At 36.4% G+C, this 21,980-nt stretch overlaps 1 protein-coding gene across 5 annotated transcripts in view; it reads right to left on the bottom strand.

The window, feature by feature from the left end:
• GALNT13 (polypeptide N-acetylgalactosaminyltransferase 13) overlaps nucleotides 1–21,980 on the bottom strand; it is a 1,388,282-nt gene that overhangs the window by 890,243 nt on the left and 476,059 nt on the right. The gene's annotated exons all lie outside the window — the stretch shown is intronic.

The following is a 21,980-nucleotide window of genomic DNA, read 5'->3' as shown; positions in this document are numbered from 1 at the left end:
AAAGATATTTCTAACATGCAACAAACATCTAATACACCTATTATATTTTTAAGTCTTTAAATATTTGTTGGTCTCAATACCAGCTGAGTCTTACTTTACTATAGTTTATACCATGCCATATCATAAGAGCTCCAGAATCAAATGTTATAATGAAATATTTTCCAAATAAAGAATTCTGTTTTGAAATATTATCTAGCATATTTTGAATTTTCTATTTATCATGCCTTCTAAGTTGTTTCAATGCTTTTATTTAAATTAAAAGATTATCTTATCATTAAAATTACATTACTTTATTACATTTGATATTACATAACTAAGACAGAAATACAACTATATCAAAAGCGTTCAGTAGAACACATGAGATTGTATTTATTTCACTACACATTTTTTATGTACCAGTCATTATTTTGAACTTATTTTTTTTCATTAATTTTTGCTTAAAGTAATTAATAAACCAAACAGAGGGAGGAATTTTCATTATAAGACATGAAAGAATTTAATGTCCAATAATTTCAGATCATATATATGCATGAGGGGTATGTGTATGCACAAGCACGTGCATACTTGGGTATATATTTAGAGACATAAATATATAGTAAGTCCTCACTTAATGTCATCAATACATTCTTGGAAACTGTGACTTTAAGGGAAATTATAAACAGCAGGTCCTCAAATAACATCATTTTCTCCAACATTATTTCTTTATAACACTTACGAGAAAAAAATGGTTTCATAACACATTGTCTTGCCTATAGTCATAGTTTCCAAGAACTTGTGGATGACATTAAGTAAGGAGATGGAGTGTGCTCTTATCTACACACACACACACTATAAACACAAACATACACACACGCATATACATATGATTTTAAGACAAAAAGCCTTGCTAAAAGATAATTTGGAAGCAAAAGATATTACACACAAGATTTGCCAACCACCCAGAAATGTTAATTCTAAAAGTACAATGTCATTTTTTAACGTATTTGGAAAAAAGCCTGTGAGTTTGAAAGATTCCAGCCATTACTGAGATCACATAGTCAAAGCACCTGCCTCAACATGTTTTTCCTTCCTTTTCTTCTTTCCCCTCTCCCCGCACCTTCACTTTCTCTTTATAATGTTGTATTTGTTTTCTATGGATGCATAATAAATAGCCAAAAACTTAGCAGCTTAAAACAACGCACACCTACAATGTCAAGCTTCTGTAGGTCAGTAGTCAAGGCACAACTGACAGATGGGTACTCCACTTCAGCTTTCCCATGTCCTCATCTGGAGACCCACTGAAGTAGAAATCTGCATCCTAAGCCCATTCAGCTTGTTAGAAGAATGCATTTCCTCCTGGCTGATGAAGACACCCTTAGGCGCTAAGGCTGCCTATAGTTTTCTACCATGCGGCCCGCTCCATAGGCAGTTTACAATTTGGCTCTTTGTTTCTTCAGGACCCACAGAAGAATCTCTGACTCTATTCTGCTAAAACAGAATTTTATACAGTATAAAGCAATGGAACAACATTCCATTACTTTTGCAGTACAATGTAACCTAATGAAGAGAGCGACTTTCGACACAAGGAGTCAAGCTAGGATGTGTCTGCCACTCTGTATGATAGTAATTTTGTAAGAATTATTTTCCAAAGACCACTTTAAATTTACCACACTAATGACCTTCAGGCTTGGTTCAGACTTCATTGAGGTTTTTTATAAATCAGAAACAATAATGTTTTTAACTCAAAAAAAAAAAAAACTAATCCTCATATGTTGACCCCACTTGAATTTTATCTCCACAGGGTCATTTAAATATTCACATCAGCTGTTTTCACATATTTAATTGACAAGCTCTTTATAAAGTATTGATGTCAAAACAATGCGGTTCTCAAGACAATATTACTATATGGGTTATAAATTCATAATGAAAATTTTGTTTTCTTTATAATGACAATCAAAATACACTTCTCCTCTATGTCTTTTAAAAGCCAAAATAACTATAATTTTAGTATGGTATAAATATTTTCAGCAAATTGTGAAAATGGAGAGGATAGAATTGAGAGTGCAGGTAGTATGCCAGGAAGAAAAGTATAGATGCACTTTTAAAATCTCTTCAATGCTTTCATTAAACAAGAAGAATAGTAAAAAAAATATATATATAAAAAATCCATGGACATCTGCAAAAAAATCTAGTGACGAAATAGCCCATCAACTTCTGAGAATAGAAGTTGGTGGTGTCATTCCACCACTAGCAGGATGACCTGTTCAAGACAAAGATAGGGTAGGGTAGAGAAAGGAGCACTCTTTGATATCAAAACTATCAAAAATCCAGAAACCATAAGTAACCCACCAAATTCACACACGAAAGCGGAGTACTCTCATTTTGAAATCCTCAACCATGCAGAGGTAAGAACAATTTGTGAAAATCGAATAAGGATACACTGGTTCCAATGTGAAGGAGAGGGCCAAAAAACTATGAGGACCTACTAGGGAAAATATTCGAGGGCACTAGTTAAGCCAGCCCATGAAAGATTTTGGAATTATTGATCAAAAACTCATTTTTTGGAAAGATGGAGATCTCCTCTGAATTGGGGGAGGAAAACTTCTATGAATAAATGGTAAGCTTAATAGGAAAAAAAAAACCCTAAGAGTGAAGGAGAAAGAATTTTCATATTCTGGGTAGTAGATGAGGGGAGGTACCAAGGGAACAGATCTTAGAACTTTGGACCTGGCTAAACAAAGAAGTTATATTATTAATACTTTATAATTACAACAAAACAGGAAGCTCTCGAGTAGTGAAACTACCCGGACCCGCTCCACACAGCAGAACTGTTCCCCTCACAGTATAAGAAAATCCATATCACTCAATATGTACAAAAGAAATGAATTGTGACCAAACCTCATATAAATATATGGGAAGAAAATAACACAAAAATCTGAAGATCCACTAAAAAATCTGATGATAAATTAGAAGTAAACCGTAATATAGTGCATAAACATAAGAAAACAGCAAATGCAAATTAAGAAAACTAAAGCGAATAATTAAAAGTGCTAACCAAAGAAAAACCTCAAAATGAGATTATAAAATAAGAGAAATACTGGAAAATAGAACTTTCAGAACTAAGGACAGAATTTTTTTAAGGGAAAACAAAATTCAATAAGGAGAGCTCAACTTGAATAAACTTGAAGAGATATTATGGAAGGTAAGGTAAGAAAAACAAAGGATATCAAGGAGAAAAAATAAACAGAGATTACACAAATAGATACATAGATAAAAACAGTTTGGACAACAAAAAAAGAAGGAACACATAGATATAATAGGTAATCCTAAGAAGACAAAAAATATGATCAGCATAAATAGTAATAATTCATACAATACATTTTTAAAAGGGCTTGAACCTACATATTTGCAAAGGTACATCACGCAACTGAGAAAAGTATCAGAATAGCCACACCAAAACAATTTCTAGTAAAACTACTGGACTTAAAGAAAGAATTATTTAGCACTAGGCAAAAAAACTAAATTTGTGTAAAGGAAAGGAAAGGATAATTGCATTGGCAACAAACATCACAGCGACACTTCATAAGATAAAATGACAGAGACAAATACTTAAAAAGTATGAACTCAGGATTTTGAATTGAACCAAAATAACTTTCAATTACTGTTATAAATTTGCAAGAATATTGAACACAAGGTCCATTTTCTGAGAATTTATTAGAGAGGAAGCCCACCAAGAATTCAAGGTAAGTTTTAGCAACTTTGCTGTAAAACTATGACTATAGTAAATTGAATTTATGTAAATTTAAAGCTAACACCAATTAATGGAGATGACATAACCAAATAGAGAATACACATGGTGTTTTTTGACAAAAGACGTCTATTACAGCCAAAAATAATAAAGAAGACAGACACAGTGTATGAATTATACAAGTTCACTCCTCGATAGGGTGTGATTTGGTGTAAGTGATTGTCACTATCAAATAAAATCCTGGAGGAAAGGGATAAAAGAATGAAAATGTTACTAGCTAATTTTATTATTGTTACATTATAAGGATGGTTGATAGTACTGATAAAAAAACGAACTAAGTGTATCTTAAAGTAACTATTAGGAAAAAAGCACAGGCCTTCAGTACACACTGGACTATTTTTTTAGTAAATGAGCATAATACCTCCAATTTACTCACAAATGGTTCAGAAAAAAATAATATTTATATGCCTCCCCACAGACGCACCCACATGCCTACACCACACACACACACACACACACACACACACACACACACACACACACAGAGAGAGAGAGAGAGAGAAAGAGAGAGAGAGGAGAGGGAGGGAGAATGGTAAAGAAAAGGGGCAAAAGTGTGAAACACTAAAAATTGGTAAAGAAGAAATAAGAGTTTCTTGAATAATTGCTGAAATTATTATTCTGTATGTTTGATTCTAAATTTGGAAATTTGTTGCTAAAATACACATTAATAGATCTAGGAAGAAAACATTTACAAATAGAAATTTTTTAAATAAAATTTGTATTACTCCAATTCAAAAGTCAACAGTTAATTAATGAGGACACCCTAGCACCATTACCTTTAAAGTCTATAACAAAACAAATGTACCTAGCATCTTCAATTGTATTTCACAATAAATTGGAGGTCTTACCTAACCTAAGTGGTGATTAATACACACCACACACACACACACACACACACACACAGGTTGAACATCTCTAATCCAGAATCCAAAAATCTGAAATGCAAAATGCTCTAAAATCTGAAATTTTTGAGCACCAATGTGACACCACAAGTGGGAAATTCCACACCTGACCTCATGTGATGGGTCACAGTCAAAACACATCAAAAACATTATTTTGTGCCCAAAATAATTAGAAATATTTTATAAAATTACCTTCAGGCTATGTGTATAAGGTGCACATAAAACATAAATGGATTTTATGTTTAGATTCAGGTCCCATTCCCAAGATATCTCATTATCTATACATCATTATTCTAAAACCAGAAAAAAATGAAATCTGAAACACCTCTGGTCCCAAGCATTTCATAAAAGGGATAGTCAACCTGTATATTTATATATGTCATATTCATATATATATAGCATAAGAATTTGAAAAGAAGATTATCTTCATATGCAGAGATATTATAACTGGAAAACCAAAAAAAAATCAATAAAAGTCTACTGCAAACAATAAGAGTTTAGTAAACTGGCTAGAAATATAATTAACATCTCCAAATCAATAGACTTAGCAAGATATAATGGAAGGGAAGGTTTTATTTACAATAAAATAAGAGTAATAAATTATACAGCAATAAACTTTAAAAACTACAATAAGAGATATAAGGAAAAATATAAAGACTCATTAAAGATGCAAAGGATATGTGACCAAATGGAAATGTATTGCTTGAATATGAATATTCAACTACATAAAGGTGTTAATTCTAAGTTAATTTTGTAAATGTAATTAATTCAAATAAAATTCCATAATGTTCTTCCTTGGAACAAGACAAGTTGGTGATGAAGTTTTTAAAAAAGAATAAGTATGAAAAAATTAACAAGAGAAAGGCTGAAGAGCATGTGGTGGGGGACCTATCATATCTCATGTTAAAATACTTTAAGGCCTCCCTAATTAAAAGCATAGTATTATTTAATAAATTGAAAGAGCAGTAAAAATAAGTAGAATATCAAAAATAGGCTCAAATATGTATAGAATTTAGTCATGATAAAAGTGTCATCTCAAATCAGTGGAGAAATAAATCTTTAATAAATTATATCAGAACAACTGGATAAGCATGTGGAAATGTATAGAATTTGATACATTCTTTCTATCATGTACTAGGATAAATTGCAAATGAGTCTAAGATTTAAGTATAAAAAATTAAAATTCTAAAAGAAGTAGAAAACATGGATGAATGTTTTTTTTTAACCTGGGAGAGGAAAACACGTTCATTCCTATCGCTATTCGTCTAGCGTTAAGTAATCAGGTACAAGAAAAAATCATAGAAGTATTAACCTGGTAATTTTACATTCAAATATAAAACATGTATGTACCTTTGAAAACTTTTCCTTGAAAAATGTATATATTTCCTAGCTCTGTTCCATTGGAAAGGCCTAGAAACAATGTTAACCCACTAGTAAAGAATACCATTAGAGCCCAGATCATGGTCTCTAAATATTATTTCCCACTAAAGGGACAGTACTTTATGGAGACATGACTGATACCAGGTCTGGGGTGCAAAATGCAAAAGATGATCCTAGGATACCATGTCTAAAGGCTATAGGAACCAATTTGATGGGACTCCTACTGGCCTAAATTATATGAAATTGAGCTTCAAAGAGCATAGAGACTGCAATACGTTGAAACATCTGATATAGTACAACCTGTAAGAAATAATATTTTTAAAATTGATTAGATACTATTAACGTGTGCTAGAATATAACTTGTTATCTTTAAAACAAATCTTTTTAAGAAAAGAGAAAAATCCAAAAAACTTACCCTATTTTTCTTACTGAAAAAGTTAGCCAAATAAAACTCCTCTTGACAGAAGAGCTACAGCAAACAAGTACAGATAAAATGGTGAAATTAGAATATCGCTATTTTCCAAACTCTAAATAACAGATAGGGATAATAACCAATAAACTTTAAACTAATCAGGTCAAAAGTTAATAAAAATCTCTTAATGGAAGGATCAGGCTGATACTACTTAAATGCACTGGTCAATTGAAGAATTAACAGAAGTGAAACAAGCAGACATTATGTGCCTCCTGATGTGATACACTAGGAAGTACAGAGCACAATCAGGATGTCTTATCAAAGAACTGGATATCAGTCCAGTCCTCTCTGTATATACATTACTATAATTATTCAAGAAATATAGGGGATAGAGAGACAAGGTAAATGATACTATAAGGAAATAATAAGCCAAAGCCAGGGTACTGACATTCGACAGACTACAAGATTCAATTTCTTCAACTAAACTGTGGCATGGTGAAAAATAGAAGGGGAGACCGTTAGGACGTAAAGCCACTTAAGAGACATAAATGTCAAATGCAATGTGTTATCTTCTTTCAATCCGTATTCAAATCAACTACAAAAAGACTCTTTCAGACAATTAGAAAACTTTCAATACAAACTGGCTATTACATAGAATTAGGTAATCATTGTTAATTTTGTTAGCTATTATAATGATGCTTATATTACAAAAATAAATGTTTTTATTAGCGGTCCATACTCATGTATATATGGCTGAAATAACATAATCTTTAGAATTTTCTTCAATATACTCTCAAAAAACAAGGTAACACATGTTGGATTTTCAGAGTTGCTAATATTCATTTTTATCACCACCAAAATATAATAACATTTCTATGCACCAAGCATCCAACTTTCCAGAAGAACTGCCATATCTTATTTTTGCAATTGACCATTATTCCTGGCTTTCCAGAGAGTGGTATTTATGAAATTTCCAGTGTCCACAAACCAGCATTTTTCTGTTGGAAAGAAACAAAGTGAAAGATACTATTATCTGACCCATAAGAGTTTATGATTTTTCAGTGGAGCTATAGCACATAATTTGAACACTTTCAGAGAAACATGCAACCAATAAATTTTAACGGAAGTTATCCATGTCCAGGAATGCTGTAGAATTATTTTCCCCTTTGGGGAGGGTCATTATGTGAATGAAAGCAATTGATCACTCATGCACCTGTCTCAGCATTATTGGTTAAAAAAAAAAAAGCACTACATAAGGACTTATGTCAGCCTACAAAGGACCTTGGAAAGGAGAAGACAGCAAAGCTCAATTTGCTACTTAAAGTACAAACCACTGTTATAAACCACACTGAGGAGATCAGCTAAAGAGATTTATGATGCCATCGCTAAGATATGTGGGATACCGCTGGAGGGGCTATTTCAAAGGACAGAACCACTCTTCTTAAGCTGCTGCTGCCTCTGTTCTCAGTGAACCCCAGTTACACCTGCCCACTAAGGATATATGGAGTGGCCTGAGGCTCAAGCAGAGCAGTGGAAAATAACAGATAACAGCATCCCCAAACAGTAAATGCCCAAGGAGTGCAGATGCTTGTTAGGTATCTGTCCTCTTTCTAAATTGAAGAGTGCTGTTTGCACCGAGGGTTAGGTTATACTCTAATGTATTTAAACATCTGTTCACTTAAAAATATTTATGATGCATGTAATCTCTGAGCAAAAGCAGAAAACTCTGCTGTAAAGGAGCTTCCAGTCAAGAGAAGGAGACAGACTTTCACCACATAGTCACAGTGATGAACACTAATTATAAATAGTGATAAGGAAAGAAACAGTTTCTTCCTGTGTCTGTATCAAAGGAATCCTTTCTCTAGTCTGGCAGGGTCAAGAAAGGCTTTCCTAGGGAATGCCACTTATCTGATGCTTGAAGGAAGAAAAGGTATACTCTGGGCACAGTTAGTAGAGCAAAAATTTCCCAGGCCGAGGGGACTGTGGGAATAAAGGTGCAGCTAAAGGAGGTCAGATAGGTTATAAGTACAAAGACCAGAGGGAGAATGAAGTTAGATGAAGTTTGAGGATGAGGCAGACCTGATCTTAAAGACTCTGTAGCCACGTTAAGGTGTTCAAATTTTATTATAAGAGCAATTGAAACCATTGACAGCCAATTGAAGGATGTTAAGCCGAGGAGTGACATGATTTATGTCTTTAGAACACTATTTTAGTATGAAGAATAGATTGTAGGGAAGGCTGAATAGATATAAAGATTGCAAACTGGTGTTGCAAATGTTCAAGCAAGAAATGATAGTAAATGAAACGATGTTGGTAACCCTCAGGTGAATAGAAGGTTGAGATGTGTTCAGCTGTAACTCATAGCCTTGGCAAGGGATTAGCTAAGGGACAGGCGAGGATGGAAGTGAGGTAAGGCAGAGGGAGTTGTCAGGGAAACCCCTTTATTTCTTGTTTGTGTACAGTCATGAGTCACTTTAAAAACAGATGCACTGTTAGGTGATTTCGTATTTGTGAAAACATCATAGAGTATAGTTACACAAACTTAGATGGCATAGCCTAATACACACCTAGGCTTTATGGTATGGCCTGCTGCTCCTAGGCTACAAATCTGTACAACATGTTACTGTACTGAATACTGCAGGCAGCTGTAGCACAATGCTAAGTATCTGTGTATCTAAACACATCTAAACATAGAAAAGGTAGAGCAAAAAATGCAGTATTACAATCTTATGGGACCACCATCATATATATGCTCTGCTGCTGATGATGGAAATGTCATTATGTGGTGCATGACTGTAATTTAATGGAAGGGGGGGTCAAATTTGTGGGGATGGGGAACATTCAAAGTAAACTAGATTTGAAAGAGATGCTTGGCCTAAGATACACTGAATTTAGGATATCTTATTGGAAATGTTAGGTGGGCAGATAAATGTAAAAATATGTAGCACAAAGAAAGTTATAGAAATATGGAAGTCCTTAGCCAGATGATATAAGGCCAGTGAAGTAGATGGGATTTCCTAAAGGACTTCAGGTTGAATCCAGCAGAGAACAGGGCCTCAGTCTGCATTAAGCTAACAGGGAAGGTTGAGTGTTTGTGACCAGACAAATGTTTTGAATTTAAGAATATTTAGGTATGGCCTGCATTTTCCAGTTAAACAGTTTTCCCTCTTTTCTACCAGGCTACTTAACACACTTGTATTACCTGCTGGCTTTGAAGACATTTGAGTTTTCAGAATATGGCTTGAAAAAGAAGATAATTTAGGATAGTCGAACAATTTCATTACGTGTTGTACCTTTGGGTAGCAAAAGATGAAGCCAGCAAATTGTGGAAATAGCTGATGTGCTAAGAATTAGTAAGGAAATCTTTTTCTAAAGTATTATATCGTCAACAGAAAATTTATAAAAGTATATGAAAATAAAATTTACTTAAAGATATGTTTAATAGTCTCTGAACATAGAATATCAGTTTTTAATTTTAAAGATTTTTTTCTGATGTGTAAAGGATGTAAAGTTTATAGACTGAAGTGGAAATAAACACATAAATGATACACAAAATTTCTCTTAATTTAAACTGCATCTTACTGGCATTTTTTTTCTTTTAAAATAGCCCAACCTTTAAATATGATACAAATTATTTCACTGGGCTATCATATGTAATTCTTTATTCCTACAAGGTCTAATTTTGAAAAAGTGGAAGTCATTATGTAATTTCAAGCATCACCATCTATGAAAAAAGAAAAATGAATGAAAAATATTAAAGATGCCTGAAAGCACTTGACTGAAAAAAGTTATTTTGCTATAATTGCAGAAAGAGATATTAGGATGAGAAAAAAATGATCATCCATTTGCAACCATTATAATAAAAATTTATAGTGGCATTTGTCCTTTCATAACACATTTTTTCCCGAGCTTTAGGCAAAAGCATGATGCTGTGTTTAATGTATCAAATTAATGAAAGCTGAAATAAGTTATTTGCTAATAATCTTCTTATAATCTTCTGTAATGTCATCTTTCTCCTTTACTTTCAATACTTTAATAGGCTAAGTTACAAATTTTAAAAAGATCGGATCTTACAAACAATCATTCAGAAGCAGTGTAACACAGCAATTAAGAGCATGGACTCTGGGTCCAGACAGGCTGGATTTAGATGTTCAACTCTGCCACATTTCAAGTGCATGACTCTTAATATTTTATGTTTCAGTCTCCCCATGTGTAAAATGGGATAAGGGTAACCACCTCACAAGATAGTAGTGAGAATGAAATTAATCACTACAAGTTGTTAGAATAATGCCTAGCCCATAACACTTATCCAGGCTTTTATAACTATTTTTATTTTTATTTAAAAGTAAAGCTTCTGGGCCGGGCGCGGTGGCTCACGCCTGTAATCCCAGCACTTTGGGAGGCCGAGGCGGGCGGATCACGAGGTCAGGAGATCGAGACCATCCTGGCTAACACGGTGAAACCCCGTCTCTACTAAAAATACAAAAAATTAGCCGGGCGTGGTAGCGGGCGCCTGTAGTCCCAGCTACTCGGGAGGCTGAGGCAGGAGAATGGCGTGAACCCGGGAGGCGGAGCTTGCAGTGAGCCGAGATCGCGCCACTGCACTCCAGCCTGGGTGACAGAGCAAGACTCCGTCTCAAAAAAAAAAAAAAAAAAAAAAGTAAAGCTTCTGTTTCACATTAACAAAATTCTAACCAAAATTATACTAAATTACTGGGGGAGACAATGAAGGTTTCTCTCTACTCCACTCATACAAGTTATAGAAACATAAAATGAATTATTTTTTAAAAGGTACTACAGAGTTAAATTTTTTTCATTTATCCAACAAAATAGTTTTGAGTGTCTATTATGTGCTAGGTGATATATTAGGCCTGGGGATACAGACCAATCTCTATCTACCTGCTCTAACAGAGTTTGCATTCTAATAACAAAGCAGATATTTCACTAAAAAAATTTTCTCTCGTACACATACAATAATTTTCATATATTTTTAAAAGGATATAAAAAGAAAGCAAAGGGCGTATGTGAGTATATTAGGAGGATCCGACTTAAATTAGGCATTAACATAGGGTGAAAAATGATTGTCACTTCAGTTCTCCAATAAGGCACACAAAAAAGACAATGAAGGTACAAAGTTTGTGTGGCACACTTATGTGCGCGTACACAGACACACACACACACACACACACACACATATACAGCATCCCGGGTTTCTGGATTTGGTAACAGACCTTTTCTGAGACACTAATATTTGGTTCAACAGTGCTTGGTCTACAACTTAAGAAACTGGTTTAAATTCCAGATGCATTTCTTTCAAATATACTTTGAAAAAATTCATCAGAAAAATGCTGAGTTAAGGAGAGATGAAACTGCATGACACAATCAGACCTAAATATTTCTGTCACTACTGGCTTTCTCATTTGTATAATACCAAATGCCCTATCTAAGGCAACTGACCAAGTTTTGTTTCCTTTTATCACAAAACTTAGAATTTGCAAACTTTTTTTTTTTGTTTTTGACACAGAGTCTCACTCTGTCACCCAGGCTGGAGTGCAGTGGCACGATCTCGGCTCACTGCAAGCTCCACCTCCTGGGTTCACGCCATTCTCCTGCCTCCTGCCTCAGCCTCCCCAGTAGCTGGGACTACAGGCACCCATCACCACGCCTGGCTAATTTTTTTTTTTTTTTTTGTATTTTTAGTAGAGACAGGGTTTCACCGTGTTAGCCAGGATGGTCTCAATCTCCTGACCTCGTGATCCGCCCACCTTGGCCTCCCAAAGAGCTGGGGCAAACTTGTTCTTACAATATACAGCAGCTAGTTATCTTTATTCCTGTATCCCAGTTTGTGCCAAACACAAGACACTCAAGATACTCAGGGGAACCTCATCCCCAGGACTCACATCCACACAACCACCCTCCAACATGAGAAGCATGTGGAGACTCAAAGCTGTCTGAGGAATTTGCAGTCCATCCTCCGCAGAGCCCCTGTAGCCTCAGCATCTTTGGAAACTCCCTTCAGCTGCCCGCTCTGTCTGAAGTCTATTTCTCTCCTGAAGACTGCTTCACCTGAGCCCCCTCAAGTGTTGCTTCTTCATCCTCACAGCCCTGGTTCCCTCGTTCCTGGAAATGGGGAGTTGTCATGCTGGCTCCTGATCACCATTTCTAGACCTTTTCACTTTCTACTCTCTAAAACCCACAGTTTTTAATTTTATATCTTTAAACTCTACCATAGGAATATTCTTTCTTGGAAACATTCTTATCATATTTCTTGATGATTTTAACATGGATCCAATGGTTCAATCATTCATTGACCTGCTCTCATCCAATAATCTTACAACCATGTTGTTTTGAGACAGCGTCTCACTCTGTCATCCAGGCTGGAGTGCAGTGGTGCAATCATGGCTCACTGCAGCCTTGACCTCCCAGGCTCAAGCAATCCTCCCACCTCAGCCTCCTGAGTAGCTGGGACTACAGGCACAGGCACAGGCCACCACACTCAGCTATTTTTTTTTTCTGTAGAGATGGAGTTTCACCATGTTGCCCAGGCTGGTCGCAAACTCCTAGGCTCAAATAACCCACATGCCTCAACCTCCCAAAGGACTGGGATTACACATGTGGCCAACATCTAATTTCATACAACATCTAATTTCATGATGAGCTAGATTTGGTATTACCAATAAACATATCCACTCCATATCTTAGTTTCTGACATCCTACTCAGTGACCACTGTTTATTTTTCTAGTTCACTCTTTTTAATAACTCCAGTTCAACAATTATTCAACCATAGTTTCTCTATGTTCTAGAAAAGGGGTCCCCAACCCACCAGCCACATACTGATACCAGTCTGTGGTCTGTTAGGAAGAGGGTCACACAGCAGGAGGTGAGCTGCAGGTAAGCAAGCATTACTGCCTGAGCTTCCACCTCCTGTCAGATCAGCGGCAGCATTAGGTTCTCATAGGAGGGGGAACCCTGTTGTGAACTGTGTATGCAAAGGATCTAGGTTGCACACTCCTTATGAGAATCTAATGCCTGATGATCTGAGATGGAACAGTTTCATCCAAAAACCATCCCCCCAACCACCATCTTTTAAAAAAACTTGTCTTCCATGAAACTGGTCCCTGGTACCAAAAAGGTTGGGGACCACTGTTCTAGAAAACAATTTCATACCATTGCTTCTTTTATCAACTGCCAACACATCCTTCCCATTTTCCTAATTGTCAATGATGCCTTTGATTCCAGTTGTGCTGCCAAAAAAAAAAAAAAAAAAAAAAAAAGAAGAAGAAGCAGGCAGAAGACAACCTTCACCAGTCTCATTCCACAATTACTCACCTACCTGCATCTATGTTTGTAAACCCTAACTACCCTCCTCACATTAAGGTGGAATTAGCAGGGCTACTCTCTATGTCCACATTGTGCATTTGATTCAATCTCTCCTCCCCTGCTCAAGAACATCGTCCTTGCAATTGTCCTTTCTTCTGAATCTTCAGTTTGTTCCTCTCTCCTGGATCATTCTCATCAACATATTTTTAAAACCACTTTTCCCTTCCTTAATGCTCTGTTTCTATTTTACCCTTTATAGCAAATCTCCTCAGAAGAGTTGTCTCATTCACTATTCTAAAGCCTTTTAACCCCAGTCTTTCCTCGATCTATTTAAACAGGTATTTGCCCACCACTCCACTGAAACTTCTCTTTTCAGTGTCCACAAATAGTCTGCATGTTGCTAAATCCAGGGGTCAATTTTTGATCATCATCTCAACCTACCAGAAACATGTGACATTTGAGCATTTCTCCTCCTTGAAACAATTTGTTTGGCCCTCAGGACACCCAGCTCTCCTAGATTTTTTTCTTACCATACCAACCTCTCCTTTTGAGGTTCCACTGCTATTTTACTCACGCCACAATCCTTATGGTGCAGTCCCAGGGCTCAGTTCACTCTTCTTTCCTGTCTACACTAACTGAATGATTCAGTCAATACAGGTTTTTGTCATCTGTATGTTAATGACTCTAAAACTTACATCTGTAGCCTAGAATTATGCCCTGACCTACAGATTTGTACATCCAACTATCTACTAAACATCTATGCTCTGACATAGAATGGACATCACAACTTTACAGATCTCAAACCAAATTCCTGATATCCCTCTCACAAACTTCCTTATCTCAGTAATGGTAACATTTTTAGTTGCTCAGCCCCACAAAATTTAAAGTTATTATTTATTGCTCTCCTATTCTCACATCCAACATTCATCAATAAGAATTGTTAGTCCAAGCTTTAAAATAGTCAGAATTTGTCTTTTCTACTATCACCATTGCCACTACTTTGGTCCAAGCCATAATCATCTCTTCTCTGTATTAGTCTTCTACCCTGTCTCCTTCATTCTGCCTTTGTCTCCATTAATGTTGCCTTTGTCTTCCTCAATTCTGCCCTGGTCTCCATACGGTCTATTCACCACACGGCAACCAGAGTGATTGTCTAATATCCGTCATATCATGTCACTCCTCAGCTCCAAATGCTCTATTGGTTCCTGTAGTAGGCATGAAGATACCCCATCCAGATCCTCTGTCATGAGAAATTGCTGCCCAAACGTAGGAGTGTGGTCAGCAGAGTCTCACACTGTCACTTTCTCAGGATTTTCCTGAAGCATAAAAGCCACCTCCCCCTAGGCGATAACCTACATCCAATGACTAAACAAGGCAGGTGTGTAAACTCCCAGTGAATTTTTCCTGATGTAGGACAGCTTTAAAGGGCAATATTTTCTCCAGAGACCCCCACTGTGTTGGTCAATGATTTTTTTTTGGACTTGTATTACAATTTGACTTCTCTATTTAAATAGTAATATCCTACCCAAGAGCCCTCTCTAGCCACCCTCAGCTTAATTTTTCTCCATAGTATTTATCACTGTTGGACATACCTCATAATCTATAGTTTTTTATTGTCCCTCCACTAAAACATATACTCTATAAAGGCAGGAATTTTTTGCTGTGTCACCAATGTCTAGAAAATTGCTAAGACCTATTAGTCATTCAATAAATATTAAATGAAATGAATCACTATTTAACTTACTTATCTAATAATTATTGTTAGATATATTCAAATACAATGCTAATTGTCACTATTGTATAAAGTTAAGCATTACCAAACAGGCAAGTATTTGAGGATTAGTCTGGATGTAAAATATGGTTCATTATACTTAGTAGGCACTCAAGATGTGACTGTTGTTGGTGATAGCAATAGTGATGAACAGTGATACCTACAGAATGCCACAAAGGCCAGGGAACAGTGCTCTGCAGACTGTGACAGCAAAATCAAAAGTTAAGCCTGGGCACGGTGGCTCTAGTCTATAATCCCAGCACTTTGGGAGGCCAAAGCAGTTGAGTCACTTGAAGCCAGGAGTTTGAGACCAGCCTGGCCAACATGGCAAAACCTCATCTCTACTTAAAAAAAAAAATAGCTGAGTGTGGCGGTGCACATCTGTAATCCCAGCTACTCAGCAGGCTGAGGCATGAGAATCACTTGAACTCGGGAGGCAGAGGTTGCAGTGAGCCGAGATGGTGCCACTACACTCCAGCCTGGAAGACAGAGTGAGACTGTCTCCAAAAAAAAAAAAAAGTGACCATTCATTTACCAAGATTGTTTTTACATGTCAACATGCAAATATGTATGGAAATAACACAGATAATAGAATAAGAAATCTCTTTGCTGCTAGATAGCTGCCATCTTGTGAAGCCAGGCTCTTAAATGGTATTCTAGGAAACAGGGAGCAGAAAGGAATGACCTCCATGTCTTTCAGTCAATATCTTCCTCTTTGGCACAAGATCAGGTGTGCATTTGGACCTATCCCATGAAATCTCTTAGCTATTGCTACGGTAGCTTAGAGGTCAGGCTTTTATTAATTCAGAAGACAACCAAGCTAGAAAGATCTTCAAAAAACCAAGGATGGAAATGAAAAGGAGGATATAAAGAAGACAAGAAGAAAGTTCTGGTCAGACGCTGCCAGATATTTTACTTTTTCTTGTTTTTAATATGGTCATCAGCAAAATCCCACTAAGAAATGGCATCTAGTCCACTAAATAGGACCTTACTATGTAACCAACAACCACAGAACTTAGTCATTTAATAGAATCATTTATTTTCTCAGGAGCCCATGGGTAGGCAATTTATACTAGGCTCTGCATGAAAAGCTTGTTGCTAAGCCCATTCTTGTATTTGGCCTCTGACACTGTGAGGGTTAGGGAAGCTGAGACTCCCCCATGGTCCCTCTTACCATGCTTGATCATATGGCTACAGTTTTCTAAGAAAGTGAGAATGCAAGCCACAATTTCTCTTGGAGCTCTCACACATCCAATCTACCACATTCTGTGGGTCAAAGCAAGTCATGAGGCCATCTCAGTTTCAAGGAGAAAGGAAATAAGCTCTACCTCTTGAGGTGAGGAATCACAAATAATTTATTTCTATTTCAGTCTACCGTTGACCTATCCTTTAAAACTGCATTCCTTAAAAAAACAGTTAAATAATACGGGAACTTTACTGTTCTCAAGTATTTTGTGTAAAGATTGAAAGCTACGGAAGCATTGAGCACTTGATATACTTTTGTTTTGAAATTCCCATTTTAACGTGTGCAGTTCAGTGGTTTTTAGTATGTTCACGTGATTGTGCAAACATCATTACTATCTAATTTTAGAACATTATCACCCCAAAAAGAAACCCCTACCCATCATCAGTCACTCCATATTCCCCTCTTTCCTTAACCCCTGGCAACCGCTAATCTATTTTGTGTCTCTATGGATTTCCCTTTTCTGGACATTTTATAGAAATTAAGTCGTATACTATGTAGCCTCTTGTGTCTGGCTTCTTTTACTTGGCATAATGTTTTCAAAGGTCGTTCATATTATAACATGTATAAGTACTTTATTTCTGTGAATAATGTTTCACTGTATGACTACACCAAATTTTTAATCTGCTCAATCAACATTTGGGTTATTTCCACTTCGGGAGTGTTATGAATCATGCTGTTATGAACATTTGTGTACAAGTTTTCACGTGAGCATATGTTTTCAGTTGTCATGGGTATACACTTGGAAGTGGGATTGCTGAGTCTTGATATACTATTATACCCAGGATTTCTCATGATGTGCATGTCTGACTGAACCATACCATGTGTTTTATACACTCAGATAAAGAGACTGGAATAAGTCAATTTTGGTATATGTTTCTGGTAGCATAGGTCAGATGAAAAGTGTCAGGGGCCTTTATACCAAAAAGCTTAAAGTCATCACTGTAGTCTAAGGTAGTTAGGTCAGAAAGATTCACTGGAAGCAAAAGCCAGAAGACAGTGGCTCCTGTTCGGGTGTCTCTCAAAGCTCTGCACACTCTACTACTCACGTTAAGTATATTTGACAATAAACGAAGCATTTCCCTTAATATCTTTTGGTTTATTAATATACCTCATCAGTTGAGATAACTGACATCCCCTATTGTTTGGAGACACACATTTTGCTTAATATTGGCCTGTAGTGGCAAGTCTTACTATTTTGCTTACTATTGTCAAAGCATGGTGTTTTATTATGATCCACGGAGCAGATCAACATTGCTGGCATCACCTGTGAGCTTCTTAGAAATGCAGGGTGTCAGGCCCCACTCCAGATCTACTGAATAAGAACTTGCATTTTAACAAGTTCCCCAAGGACTTTTGTGCACAGAAAAATTTGAAAGGCAATGCCATATAGCAAACTTAATTCATCGAGCTGTTACAGAATTTAAAGCTGGAGGCTCAGACATTTAATCAAAATCTTCCTGTGAGAATATGGACATTAAATAATATTATTACCAATAATACACAGAAAGCAATTATTGGATGTCAACTACATTTCAGGAACTATGCCAAGTGCTTTCCAAGCATTATCTCTTTCCATTTTTACAGCAATCAAGTACTTTTTGCCCCACTTATGGATATCAAAACCAGGGCTCAAAACTCAAGCTATTTGCCAAAAGTCAAGAGTAAGTGCTTTTAAGAGTAAAAGCCAGGAGTCAAACCCCAGTTTGCCTAATTTCAGAGCCCAAGTTCCTTAACACTATCTTATCTTGCCCAGTAATATTTGCAAATAACATCCTCATAATCTAATTCATGAAAAAGAAAACAAGATCTACTCTATATAATTTCTAAACTTACTTAACTCATTACATGTGTTCTTACCTATTCATGAGAACATAAGCTCCAAGAGGGTGGGAATTTTTGACATTGTCACTGGTATATCCTCACTATCTAGATCAGTACATAATAAACTGTCATTAATTTTATTGAATGAGAAAATTATTTTATATATTAAGACTCTACCTGTGGCTTATGAAAATGAATAAAATTTCATCTTTACTGATTTCTCTTCCAATTTCTCAGCCTTGGATTTTACCTGTAGTATGAATGCTAATGGCTGGTTTGCTGTGGCACTGATGAATTTATCTTCAATGAAAATAGAAGTAATATTGTGTTATACATCAGCAGTAACTCCTTAGAATACCATCTTATCACAGAGTATTTCGACATAGTACAACCTTGAAGGAGCTGTGTTTGTGGCTAAAAAGGTATCTTCTCAGTTGTTTTATTAGAAAACAATAGTCTGGAAACATCGGTTTGGGCCTAGCACATGGGTGCATTTTGTAAGAACTGAAAATATGCAGTACAATGGTGACAAAATATGCATTGAGAAAAGTTAAGATGTATTTTTCAAAGGACTAATAGTGCAGGAAATTCTTGAAACCAAACATTCTACTTCATCCATCTTGTACATGATTATTTTACAGTGGAACCACTTGTTATTCACCTCCATTCCATTAGGCAACCAAATTACATGCCAAGCTAGCTTTATAAATAGAACTCAGAGTAGGTGGGCCATAGCCAGAGGAAAACAAAGAATAAATTCATTTATATAATCTCATCTCTCAGAATAGAAATTGTTTTCTATTTATATAGAGAGGAATTGTCAGAATTAGACAGAGGTAGGAAAGGGGGCAATTATTCAAAAAGACTTAGGAAAACACAGAAGACCTTCAGTACTTCTTTAATACAACAAAAGTATATAAATCTGTATCAGACATGCTGAAAATTACATTGTGGTTATTGAGGCAATATACACACAGATTTATTGACAAGGTATTTTGCATCTAATGCTAACACAAAACTTGATGTGCACACAGTCTTATTGGCATTAATATTGTACTTGATATCGTACTTGGCTGTGGACAGTGACTAAGTAGATAATGAGGTGAAGTAGAGCATCTAATCTTGTCTGACACCTGACAAGAAGCGGGGCACACTTGGACACACAAAGGGTAGATGTTCTAACTAATCCTTTCATAAAATTTTACAAACTTGCCTCCAATGTCTCAAATACAATATATGCTCATATTTCAGTAGGAAAACACCTACAAGATCAGCTACATAATTTGCAGGGCCCAGTCAGTGCAAAATGAAAATGTGAGGCTTTTTTCAGAATCCAGGGGATGAAAATGATTTTAAAAGTACAGAAATACAAAGTTTTTTCCTCTCTTCTTCAATCATTCTTCCAACTTGTCACAGCGTTTTAATGTTTTCCATTTAATTTCATTCTAAGCAAATAATTACTTATCAATTTTAAATTGGCGAGAATACTATCATTTGTCTTTATTTGATGAAATGCCAGTTTTAAATGCAATTTTCAGATCTTATTAGGAATCACTGAAAAATTGAGATTATGTATTTTGTGGCTTATCTCCTGAGGGTGCAAGGAGCTGGCCAGAAGAGAAAAACATAGCCAGATTCAGGATGGTGGGAATGAGGAAGAGAGTATCTTCCAAGGTCAGCTTGGAATACTCAGAGGGCATGTGCCGAACCACAGGGCTGGTGAGGGCCCTCCCCACATTACAGGGCTCTGGAACCTGACTACAGCTGGGTTCCATTTCCTGTCAGCCACTGGATCCACGTACTTTGCCCTGACCAGGGCAGAAAAGTTGAGCTAGGCATATCCTCTTGCCAGGGGCATTGCAACCTCCATGTTGGGTGCCTGGATTGGGGGTGGGTAAGAGACTTCTGTAGTGTGGCCAGACCAGAGTTGGGACAGATCCCACTATGACTCTCTCCCTAGATATTGGGGCATAACCTCAACCCTTGCTATACCCACACTCTCTCTGGGGTCAAGGTGACCCCTGTGGCCAAGTGGGGTCCAGAGTACCAAGTGGTAGGAAAGTTGATAGCCTAGAATCTATCCCTCGGGCTGCTGGGCCTTGCATACTGCATACATCCTAGACCTGCTTACTTAACACATCCCTTCTGTAGAAGCAGCCAGGGTACAGACTGCTGCTTGCCCTCCAATATCCATTCTCCTCTTGTTTAATAACAATAGAACTCTCAACTTTTAGCTGTGGACCAAGACAAAGCAGGCATTTTCTCCAACAGTCTTGCAACTGAGTATGCTGTGTGACTGAGTCGTGGCTAAGATGTGTACATGGAATCAACATGTGTGGCAGCAGTACACATCCTCTGCCTCATTCTCCTTGCTCTTTCCTTCTGCTATGGAGAACACGGAAGTAAAATCTGGAGCTCCAGATATTGTTATCTTGAACCTTGAGAAGAAGGGCCATATCTCAGAAATGGCTGAGCAGGAGCTTAACAAATTAAGTTTTCACCTCACCGGCTGTGGACTGCCACCACCAGACTTAAGAGAAAGAGACACAGACATCTAACTGGGTTAAGCGCTCCTTTTTTTTTTCTGAGTCTTTGCTACTCAAAGCCAAATCATAATCCTAAAATTAGGAGAAAAATTATAATCTGATTTTATGCTATTTCACTCACTACTAGTCCTTATTCAGAGAACATTGATCCAACTCCAAGACCTCTTTTCATTTCTACCCCTCCCTTACGAATGTTTGCTCTTAAGCTGTTGGAAGAGGATATCCCTCAATGTTTGCATTCTATCTGTCATGGCTTTATTTTACCATACTTAAAATGATTATAACCGATTTTGTTAACTTAAGATTCCATTCCTTTTCTGCAAAGAGGTAACAATTGCTGACCATTTAAAAATAACTACATACTTCAGTATTATATAATCTCTACCATGATTAAAACATTGAGTTCTCAGCTACAGAACACTGTATTCTTGTATCATATTAGAAATTGTTAAAAATAGTTTTCCAAGTCAATTCTAAATAAATAGAGAAATCTTACCTGAATCATGGGTTCCTACCTAAATTGGACAAAAATTTTTCTTAGTTTTCCTCAATTTGCCTCATTCAGATCATTTTGTAAGTGATCTTTTAAGAATTAAATTGATTCTCCACTTTGTGGATGATAGAAGGAAATAATATACCAAATTGACATGTGTTCAAGTATTCAAGTAATTAAAACATTAAATTCCTGACAAGTGAAAGGAACAAAGACATCATGCAATGCTTGTATTATGATCAACCTGTTAAGAATGGTTGTAAATGTTACCAGTTCCCACAGACATGAGTTGTTAGCAAGG

Source organism: Homo sapiens, chromosome 2, assembly GCF_000001405.40.
Source record: "Homo sapiens chromosome 2, GRCh38.p14 Primary Assembly".
In the NCBI taxonomy this organism is placed as follows: domain Eukaryota; kingdom Metazoa; phylum Chordata; class Mammalia; order Primates; family Hominidae; genus Homo; species Homo sapiens.
This window is presented reverse-complemented; position numbering and strand designations above follow the sequence as displayed.